At 34.3% G+C, this 12,233-nt stretch overlaps 1 long non-coding RNA gene across 2 annotated transcripts in view; it reads left to right on the forward strand.

Annotated features, from left to right (window-relative positions):
- The first annotated feature begins 427 nt into the window (after positions 1 to 427).
- Positions 428 to 12,233, forward strand: part of LINC02822 (long intergenic non-protein coding RNA 2822) — an 89,782-nt gene continuing 77,976 nt past the window's right edge. For both annotated transcript variants that reach the window (XR_429171.5, XR_007063577.1), the window contains exon 1: positions 428 to 672. This is a non-coding gene — a long non-coding RNA (long intergenic non-protein coding RNA 2822). The remainder of the gene's footprint in view (positions 673 to 12,233) is intronic.

Raw genomic sequence — 12,233 nt, forward strand, 5'->3', positions numbered from 1 at the left:
CGGTGTTTAATATTCCTTGGGTTCTATTTGATCAAGGATTTAGCCACCTCAGCTGCTAACGTTCAAGTTACCTGCTGAATCCTTGACCGCAAATGCCATCAACCAGTACCAGCATTTTGTATCTGGAAATATCCTACTTCTTGTGCTTGACAGAGACAGAGGATGTGGCACAGAAGCCCCTGACCCATTGCTTCAGGAATGTCAACTCAAATGGTATTGTAGAGTGTTTTTCTGGTAGTCCTTCATACTTTGAACATAGTTCTAACCCTTGGACTCATGATTAATGTAATAGAATTTCTGGGCTGAATGGATAATAGCCACTGTATATAACATTGTGGTAAAATATCTGTCAATTTGCAAATAATTGACTTCCAAAAAAAATTTGCGTTGCACCAATTTGTAGCTCATCTCTTTGCTTTCTTTTTTCAGTTATGTAATGGAATTGAATGAAGCAAGTGTCAGATCTACATCTCTACAAACACTCACTTTATCAGTTCAGAGAATAAAGAGATGAATTTAATAATGCCACTGGACACTTATACTCTATCGGATCCTAATAATTTCTCACACTAATGAATTCTTCTATCAACTTCATGTTAATCAAGAGGAGACAGAGCCAAGAAGTGAGTAATTGCTTACTGAATTGTGAAAGCTGGGATGATTTAACTACAGGTAAGTACCACAAAGAGAATGTTTATAACAACCTTTTGTGTTTCATGTACTCAAATATCTTTTTGATGAAAGGGTGACAGCAAAAGGAGCTATTTTTGAGACATACTCTATAATTAGAGTGAGCTAAACATGTCATTTGACTTTATTGTGATTTTTCTTATGATTTGGGAACTTAGAAAATAAAATGCTGTGTACAATATGAAATCATTTCTGTAAAATTTAAAGCACACACTTGTCCATGGTACTGACATATGTTGTAAGAGTGTAAAATCATGCACAAAAAATGCATGCTGTATCAGACTATGCCTATGTCTGGGGAGACAAAAGAATGACATGATGGGCAAGACTTTTGCTGTCAGCTGTATTTACTTTTTTAAAGACGAGATGCAAATGTGGTAAAATACTAGCATATGTTAAACCTATTATATCTTTTATGTTTTATATACTAAAATATTTTAATAGATATTTAAAATATATTTTTAAAAAATGTTTATAAGATTACAATGTCAGAAGAAAGTTTGCTTAACTGTTTTCATACTTTTAGGCAGTAATTATTACATGTGAACTCGATTACCCAGTTGTTTAGTTAAAAAAAAATGCTACTAGCCTTTTAGAGTTAATTGTGAGTTGTATAATCTAATTTTGACACTGTCAAAGTTTTGACTCCACTTCATCTCCTTAATAAGGTGCCATTTGTTACCTAATATAAAATTCATACATTTTAAATATGAATTTTAACAATTTTCTTAGTATTTAAATTTAGAAATAAGTGATCTCACTGTGAAATATACATATTAGAGAACTTCATGCTACCTTATATTAAGTAAGATTAGAATTGACGGAGATGAAAGTGAATTGTCATAATTGTATCACTGCCTCATTTAGACTTGCTCATATTTTATATTTTATAAAATTATTCTGATTATTTGGAAAGAAAACTGGTGAATGCATGGAATGGATAGAGGAAAAATTTTTCTCTTTCTTTTTTTGAGAATAGATTTTAGTTAGCGTAGAAAATTTTCATACACTAAAGTATGAAGAAACACATTAAAATTTGGTACCTGAATTTCTGAGGACAAGGACTAAGATAGAAAATAAAATAAAATAATATTAGAATTTTCATTTATATTAATGATGATCACAGAGGGCCTCTAGCCTCCCAATTAGCCAACAACTCTCTAGGATTTTTTTTTTTAAGTTCAGAGTTAAACATAACACTGTATCTTGAAGTCTACTAAAATAGTGCTTTATTTTTTCACTTAAAATTTTAGGCTAGATGTTATAAAGCACATTCAAATGCAGTCCTTAAGCTTCCTACTGTTCACAGAACTTAAATGAAGGTTGTTTTTAGAATTCCACTTATTTACTACTTTGCTATAAGCAACTGATCAACATCAACACAGATTTAATAAGAACCTTAATTTCACATAAGACTGTATACGATGAAACAGAAGGAAAACAATTAGAGCAATTATCATTGCCTACATCATCCTGATTATCATTATTATAATGATTGACATTTACACTCTTCACAGATTACAAAGTGCTTTCATCTTCAATGCTTCTCTGTACCTCACGATCACCTGGTAAATAGGTATAACACATATTATCTGTTCCCACTCGAGCTGGAAAAGCTGGCAAATACATCATTGTCTCTATGTTTCCTGGCATTGTAAGAGACAAATGAAAAAGAGGGATATATTATGGGAGGGAGGAAAGAAGTTAAGAAGATGTGCTACTGGCTGAACAATGGGACTATGTCTATTTTAAGATGATTCTCCACAGGTTTCTAACATATAGTTAATAATAGTTTCAATAAACATACATGGGAAAATATACACCTTGTACTTATTATGAAAACACTTATATTTATATAATAGGGGAGGCAATGTTATGATAATAAATTTGCATGTATCCCTCACCAATCTTGTTCTATTTCCCCACACACACTCCACATAACACAAACTGGATAATTTTGAAGCAAATCTTAGATATCATATTATTTCATTCAGGAAAATGCAAATACACATTATAAAGGAAGCTAACTCCATTTGAATTGAATGTGAATTTAAACAGAAGAAGTAATTATTTGATTCAATTACTCAAAATTAATATTTTTATTTGGAAATTATTCATTTTCAAACTCCTGGATGAATTTGGCCGACTCTTGCATGAGGAATACATTCTACCTGAAATGTGATAATCTCATAAAATATCATAAACTCTCCCTGAGGCTAACTATAAATCTTATATATATATATATACGTATATATATACACATATATACATATATATGCACATATATACATATATTCACACATATATACACATATATACATATATACACACGTATATATATACACACATATATACACGTATATATATGCATATATATATACATACACACATATATACACGTATATATATGCATATATATATACATACACACATACATATATATATATATTTTTTTTTTGAGACAAGGTCTTGCTCTGTCACCAGGCTGGAGTGCAGTGGCACCATCTCAGCTCACTGCCACCTCCACTTCCCAGGTTCAAGCGATTCTCCCACCTCAGCCTCCCAAATGACTGGGAGTATAGGCATGTGCCACCATGCCCAGCTAATTTTTATATTTTTAGTAGAGACGAGGTTTCACCATGTTGACCAGGATGGTCTCGATCTCTTGACCTTGTGACCTGCCCACCTCAGCCTCCCAAAGTGCTGGGATTACAGGCGTGAGCCACCACGCCTCTTGTATCTTTTTATTTGTCTAAAATCTAGCTTTGGGGGAAAAAGGGTTTAAATGTCCCTTTGATAACTGACAATATGGATAAATTGATATAAACATGATAAAATAATATTAGAGTTTTCATTTATATTAATGATGATCATTCACAGAGGGCATCTAGCCTCCCAATTAGCCAACAACACTCTGGGATTATTTTTTTAAAGTTCAGAGTTAAAATAAACATAACACTGTATCTTGAATAATATTTGATAGATGACCACAGTAAACAGTCATTATACTGTTTTAATGAAAAGAACTACTGTTAGCCAAGACAGCTAGCTTTTAATACTGCCTGCCAGAACTAGCTTTGTGATCTTGGGCCAGTCAGGTAACTTTTTGGATCTTTTATTCTCGTTAATAAAATTGATTATGTTCTATATTACTTCTAAAATGAATAGATATCATAGTATCCAGCTCTCAGTTGTGTTATTATATCTCAAAAATACTTTGTTTCTTACTTCCATTATATATATATACATATATATTCATTATTTTCAGACCAGGCTTCTTTCTTCAGCAGTAACTCTTATTTCATTCAAATAAGCTCTATTCCCTATGCAAGGTAGTTCTGCCAAATCTAGAAAAGGCACAACGATGAACTGAAAGTTGGCAGTAATTAGAGAGGCAAACAAATTTTCAGGAACATAACTTGAATGGCAAAAGCAAAACAATTTTATATCTATCAGGCCTGTAGAATTACATAATCTTAGCTTCCTTAAAATGTAGGATGCAAATTGGCCCTTACTAACTTATTTACTAATAACAAATTGTAAGCATCTATGGCATTTTACTTATTTTTGAAGTTGATAAGTCAGCTTCTTTGTAGTAGACATTTTCTAATTATTCCTTGTTATTGGCCAAAAAAGTTGCCCTGAATGTATCAGGCCATCCCTTAAAACATCAGAAATGGTACTTTAGTTATTGAGAAATACATATTTGATTATAACCATTGGTAATTGACACATACATACACACATATATATTTTATATGTATATATACACACACTATATATACACACACATATAATAGTTAAACATTTAAAATACATTTTCTCACTGCTGTAATATAATGTGAAATATACATGTTAAAAATATAGAGAGATTATTTTTTAGAATTGTTTCAGAGGTTGTTTTTAGAACATACACATATTTAAGAATCTGTTCAGTATACTAAAAAGAAGGAGAAGCAAACTGCAGCATTGTCTGCAAGTTAATTTTAAGAAAGAAGCTCACAAAAACTGTTACACACTTTCCTTGTTAATATAAGCAGTAATGCTTCCTGAGGGTCCTTGAGCGTGTGTTTATCAAATATTTATTTAACACATAACAAAACATAAAAAGAAATTTGAAAATGCTTTTATTGCCCTGTATAAGATTAGTTTTCACTCATATGAATTTTACTTGATCTAGCAATTAGTTCTTGCCAAAATCATTAGGCCTTGACATATTTTTCTGTATGGCTAAGAGTATTGCTACCAAATTTTGTTTCCTAAGAGTTAAGGATAGAGAATTTAAAGATTAGTGAAGCCAGGATTGCTACAAATTCTTTATGCACCTATAACTAAAAACCTCAGAGATGAAATGTTTCTTCTTGGACTACCAAACAGACAGATGCATACATATACTCATAGGCGCATGCACACACACACACACACACACACACACACGCACACACACACACTTTTCCCACTGTAATTCAAGGCATAATTGGAACAAGTTGTTGCCTTTGAAAATAAAAAATAAAAAGTACTTTGAAAAAACATTCTTCTTAGACTTCACCTTGTTTCTACCATCCAGATACAATACATAATAAAATAAAGAATGACTAGGAAATTTTGAGAGACTTGAGGGTGTCTCATAATAGTTAATATGAGTAAATATAGTATTAACTTTAGTCTTTAAGAACTGTAAGACATGACTTTAACATCTTACTATTCAAGATGGGTCTATTGAACTTCTGTGGTAAAAGGTTTAAGAGACCTTAAACCTGTTAAGGCTCTTAAGCTTAAAGGTAAAGACTTTAAGAGACTTTTGCATTCATATCTGTTTTATCAGTCAGCCGTCTTAATCAATTGCATCTTTGGTATAACTTACTGGATAATTTTTAAAAAATTATTTTAGCTATATGTGTATAAAATTGCTGTATACAAAATATACCTTTAGACTTAATTTTTCTATAAGAGGCAAAAGCGAGGATATATTATAATAAAATTACATACCTTTTTAAAGAAAAGTGTGATGTTGGCTTTTATTTATGAGATTTTTTAAAAAAAACCTTTATGCTTATTATTTCCTCTTCAATTATTTAAGGTTAAATTGCATTTTAGAACTCAAATTTGAAACTTCTCCCTGAGTTTCAACCCAATTTTCGGGCAATGAGAACATATTAAGGCTCTCAGTGTGCTACAATAATATTTAATCATATTATAATTATAATAACTTAAGGGATACATCAAAATGTCTCTTTGGAAAAGGTATAGTAGGTTGTGGTAAATAATGATATTTTTTGTAACATACGTGGGAATTTCTTTCTTTCTTTCTTTCTTTCTTTCTTTCTTTCTTTCTTTCTTTCTTTCTTTCTCTCTCTCTCTCTCTTTCTTTTCTTCCTTCCTTCCTTCCTTCCTTCAGCACAAGTGTATAGAACATAAAAATATTTAAATAATCTTTTTATGGGAATGCAAAGAAAGTGGTAGAGGGCAGAGTTGAGGTATCTAGTTCATAAGCTGAACTTGCAACACTTGCCTGGAAGTCTCCCTTACCAAAGATACAACGTTATTTAAAAATCTATTGATTACAGAGCTTAGTAAATTAAAAAAGTCTACGTATTAGTCCGTTCTCACACTGCTATAAAGAACTAACTGTGGCTGGGGAATTTATGAAGAAAAGAGGTTTAATTAACTTACAGTTCCACAGGCTGTACAGGAAGCATGGCTGGGAGACCTTCAGAAACTTAAAATTATGGCAGAAGGTGAGGGGGAAGCAAGCACGTCTTCACATGGCTGTCAGGAGCAGTTGGAGGGAGGTGCTACACACTTTTAAACAAGTAGATCTCCAGATAACTCTATCACAAGAACAGCAATGGGGAGCTCTGCCCCCACGATTCAATCACTTCTCACCAGGCCCCTCCTTCAATACTTGCAATCACAATTCGACATGAGATTTGGGTGGGGATACAGAGCCAAACCATATTAGTCTGTCATATTCATGGTGGCTGTGATGGGTTTGTTGCCAGCCAATGGCAAATTGCTTGCATAAATACATTAATGACATATTTCAGTGGCCACATTTCTCCCTCTTGGGACCTAGAAGAGCCTGTGTGTTAAGTTGTTCTTCAAGTTTAGTCCTACTGGTATGGTCTGAATGTTTGTGTTCCCACCAAATTCATATGTTAAAAACCTAATCACCAATGTGTTAGAAGGTGGTATTTTGGAGCGGTGATTAGGTCATGAGGGTGGAGCCCTCATGAGTGGGATTAGTGCCCTTATAAAACAGGCTCCAGAGAGCTGCTTTTGCCTCTTCCACCAGGTGAGGACACAGCTAGAAGGTGCCATCTATGAACCAGAAAACCAGGCACTGACATATTCGGTGCCTGGTGAGCATAATATGCCAGTGCCTTGATCTTGTACTTCCTAGCCTCTAGAACCATGAGAAATACATTTCTGTTGCCTACAAGCTACCCAGTTTATGGTATTTTTATAGCAGTCCAAACAAACTAAGATACCTACGTTCTCCATTCTTCCTTTTCTCACAATATTTCTTTACCTCTGAAACCTGATTTAAATGAACATAAATACGTAGCTTGAATCAAATAGCCAAAAGGAACTAATCTGAGGGAAACATGTACTGGGAAACCAGCCTCATTCCTTTGACTTGATTACCTTCATAAACCATTCATTCTAGCAGAACTATTACTACTAACAGCAAAACTAACTACCTACTTTATTTATTTTACGGAGTCCTTGAATTAATTCAGTTGCCTGGCCCTGGGAAAGGTTGCAGTTGACCATGAACTGGTAGACAGGCAAATGTATAACATGCTTCCTCTGAAAGGTTTGCTTAAAGAAGATCAACTTCCTAGATTTGAAGAAAAGGTATGTTAAAATAACGAGAAAAAAGAAAACCTATATTGTAGCTACACTGTGAAGTAATTGGAATAATTGAATAAGGATAAGAAATGTAAGCATTCTCTTTAGTAGACTACCTCCTATACCATTCTGTACTTAAAGCAGTGCATTCCCATTGTGTACATGGACACTCTTCAGAATGGAGTAAGGAAAACAAACCCCACACACTTGGATAGCACCCTACTCTTGCTATTTTTCTTAGCAGTGAGCTCCCTTCTTTAGAAAAGGAAAATAAGAGCCAAGATAATGAAAATACAAAAGGGAAAATGTCATGCTAGGTTAGGTTAGTGGTTTTCATCTAGTCCCCATTTTTTTCAAAACATAGGATGCATGTCCCTGGTAGTCTAAGGTCACACACACACACACACACACACACAAACCACGACATTAAATAATAGTGACTTACACGGGGAGGAATATTCAATTTTATTTTATCTTATTTCTTGTATTGAACTCATAAATAATACTTGTTTTTTTTATGTCTTAAATTTTTGGCATATTCTGCTAACCTCTCTTAAATATTTGCCACTTGTCCTTTATAATACTGAAAGTAGACTTCGGCTTAGAACCTTTGGTAGACAACAGTATCTGGTTACAATTTAATAAGTTTTAAAGTTATAATTTGTTTTTAATTGTAATTTTCTATTTACAGTGATGATATAAAATCATCTTTAAAATAAATAAGTTGGGGCTGGGTGTGGTGGCTCACACCTGTAAGCCCAGCACTTTGGGATGCCGAGCTGGTGGATCACTTGAGGTCAGAAGTTCAAGAGCACCCTGGCCAACATGGTGAAACCCCCTCTCTACTAAAAATACAAAAATTAGCCAGGCATGGTGGCTTGCATCTGTTATCCAAGCTATTTGGGAGGCTGAGGCAGGAGAATCGCTTAAACCCAGGAGGCAGAAGTTGCAGTAAGCTGAGATTGTACCACTGCACTCCAGCCTGGGCAACAGAGGGAGACTCCATCTCAAAACAAAAACAAAAACAAAAACAAAAACAAAACAACAACAACAACACTTTGGGAGGCAGGTGGATCACGAGGTCAGGAGTTCGAGACCAGCCTCACCAACATGGTGAAACCTCATCTCTACTAAAAATGCAAAAATTAGCTGGGTGTGGTGGCACACACCTGTACTCCCAGCTACTCAGGAGGCTGAGGCAGGAGAATCACTTGAACCTGGGAGGCGGAGGTTGCAGTGAGCTGAGATCACACCATTGCACTCCAGCCTGGGTGACACAGTGAGACTCTGTTTCAAATAAACAAATAAATAAGTTGGATAGAGAGGAGTTCAATAAACTGTCAACATTATATTGACTCTTTCTTCCAAAATGCTGAGTTTTGAAGATGTGAGATAAGAAAAGTACCTTACTACCAGAATTACTTTTAAAAAGTAAACATTAAACAGTAAAGAAAGATAAGAAAAATAATCTCTTAGTCAATACTAATTATTTCATGACTTAGAAATCCTATACTATGTTATTTTTTTAAGACTGGAGGTGAGCTTTTTTACAGTCTAATTAAAGATTCTAGTTAAGAATCTCAAGATTTGTAACTTATATGTCCAAAGTCCTAAACTTCTCTGTGTCTGGTACTAAATACTTAAGTTATCTGTCACATACATTCTTTCTCCTTCCACAGCAACTTTCAGTCTATCAACTATCTGAAGCCTCTACAGGCAGAATGAAGAAAGTTTGAAATAGTGAAGTTCAGGAATAATACAGTCCATTAATTAAGTCATGAGAAAAGTCAATCAGTATACATTGAATCCCTCTTTGTACCAAGCTCTTTGATATTAAATGAATACACATGTAAAACATATGTGATCTCAAGGATATAGTCGTTATAAAACAAACTACGTTTGACTTACAAATGCATTTTATTTTTCAAGGCAAGTGATAAGGAAAACTAAGTATTATTTTTAACGCTCTTTTTCCGAAGGACATGGTATCTCAAATTCATAGCTATCCACCATTCTCTATTTATTACACCTGATCCTCTAGTAGGTTGTATCATCTGTCTGCACCTAAAGGCATTAAACTGGTGACCCCAGATTTAAAATAGAATGGGGAGACAATTAAACAAATTGAATAAATTGATCCGCAAGAACACTAGGTACTGTGGGAACATGCAGAAGGGCGTCCTACTGACCTTGGTGTAAATGAAGATGGATACGTTTTGAAAAACAAGTAACTGTTATCCCACTTGAAAAGAGAATAAAAAGTGGATCAGGAAAAAGGCAACAACACATATAAAGGAAGAGCATCTTGAGGCATATAAGATGATACAGCACTACAATTAGTAAAGCTTTATGAGAATAAAGGACAAAAGATCAAATGGAGCTTGGTGGAGGGAGTCTAAAGCCAGATTAAGAAAGTTCTTTTATTTTATATTTATTTTATAGTAAAGATTGGGATTTATCTTAAAAATAAAGGATGGATACTAATATGCTCATATATTAATATAGTCATGTTTTCCCAATTTACACCTAGCTTGAAGATAATCAAGGGATTTGCAATGACAATATCTACTGTTCTAGGCCCAATCCAGTTTGATTTGCAAGATTAGGTTCTCTTAGCCCTGCAGTTACTTGTGGTTTCTGAATTAGTTTCATAGTCTCTCTGGGCATCTGCTCTTCTGCGTTTTTCTTTTCTGGTATCCTTAAAGAGATTTCATTAAGGAATAATGATTACCTCAGATACCTTGGCCTCTAAGTTGCTCCTTTACACTAAAACTCCAGCAGCAGGATCAAAGGTAGATTAGCTAAAGTTCAAAGTGATTGTATCTCACTCTTGTACTCTCTTTCTTCTCTTCCTCTAGTTTTCTTCCTATTTTCTTTCCCTACCTACTATTCATGGAGAACTTTTTTCTACTTTTGCAATCAGTTAAGTGCTCTTCCAAGACACAGCATTGCAAAAATTGAACCGGGGTGGGAGTAAGGGGGGAAAACACACATACACACACATGCTGTCAAAACCAAGAGACTACATGATCCATTATAAAATAAAATATGCAGTTTTTAAAATATGTTTAAGTTATTAATTAAAATTCCATAAAATGTAGATTATTATTTTTCTCCCACAGAATATGTCATATCTCTGATAACAGGTAGAAATAGGGCAGTCAATCCTTTCTGCGTGAGGTTTCAATAATTTATTTTGCCAATTGGCTTAGGGAAATTCTATACACAATTGTAATGAGTTTTTGTAACCTAAATAAAAGATTAATAAGAATTAGGAAAACCATCACTTATAAGTGCTTGTCACAGCTCCCGAAAGTCATCTAGAAACTTACAAAATGTATGAGCTTCTTCTTCGTTTCAGAATAATGTTTCATTTAAATCAATGTAATCTAAATTTCCACTTTCTTGGTTGAAATCTGTTATTGCCTTCCTATAAACTTTAGGATAAACTAAAAATTCTAATCAAAACATGTAAAGTTCTAATAACTCACTGATATGGTTTGACTGTGTTCCCATTTCAAGCTAGGAAGTAACTAACTTGCTTTTGATTTTATAGGCTCATAGATGGAAGGGACTTGCCTTATCTCAGATGAGACTTTGGACTGTGGACTTTTAAGTTAATGCGGAAATTAGTTAAGACTTTGGGGGACTGTTGGAAAGGCATGATTGGTTTTGAAATGTGGAAATATGAGATTTGGGAGGGGTCAGGGGCAGAATGACATTGTTTGGCTGTATCCTCACCCAAATCTCATCTTGAATTGTAGCTCCCATAATTTCCGCATGTTGTGGGAGGGAACTGGTAGGAGATAATTGAATCGTGGGGGCGGTTTCCCCCATACTGTTCTTGTGGTAGTGAATAAATCTCACGATATCTGGTGATTTTATGAGGGGTTTCCTCTTTTGCTTGGTTCTCATTCTCTCTTGTCTACTGCTATGTAAGACCTGCCCTTCACCTTCTACCATGATTGTGAGGCCACCCCAGCCAATGTGGAAGTGTGAGTCCATTAAACCTCTTTTTTAAATTAGCCAATCTCAGGTATGTCTTCTTTGTGAGCAGTGTGAAGATGAACTAATACACTGACGTATTCATTCATTTATCTATCATTTAATGAACATGTATTAAGAACCTAGTAAATGTCATGCACTTTACCAGGTGCATTGTCCATCTGGTTTCTTCCTAACTTTTAGGCTTTTATCTTGCCATATGTCCACTCCATTCTACATGACAGCCATCCTCACCCCCACTTGCAGTTCCCCTGATATGCCCAGCTCAATCACACACCCATATCTTCCCTATACTGTTTCTGTGACAAGGATGCCCTTTACATCTCATTTATGTAGCTCAATGCTTCAACAACATATGTGATCTTTGAAATGAAATGGAGGATTTTTAAAAATACATATTCCAGATAACCAATCTTTATTATTTTGATTCACAGACCAGTAGATCTGTGGTGGGACTTATGACTGTCATTATTTCTAAAAGGTTTCACAGGAAATTGAGATAATAATTTCATTTTGAAACATTTGACCAATTAATACCTCTTTAATCTTTAAGGCTAAAATTAGGTACCACTCCTCATTAAAAACATTAGTTGACCTCATGTTTACTTAAGTGACCATTTTTGCATTCAATAATGGCACTTGAGCTCCTTGAACTGTGTTTATATTTTAGTTTTGTTTTTGTT

Source organism: Homo sapiens, chromosome 12 (genome assembly GCF_000001405.40).
Source record: "Homo sapiens chromosome 12, GRCh38.p14 Primary Assembly".
Lineage (NCBI taxonomy): Eukaryota > Metazoa > Chordata > Mammalia > Primates > Hominidae > Homo > Homo sapiens.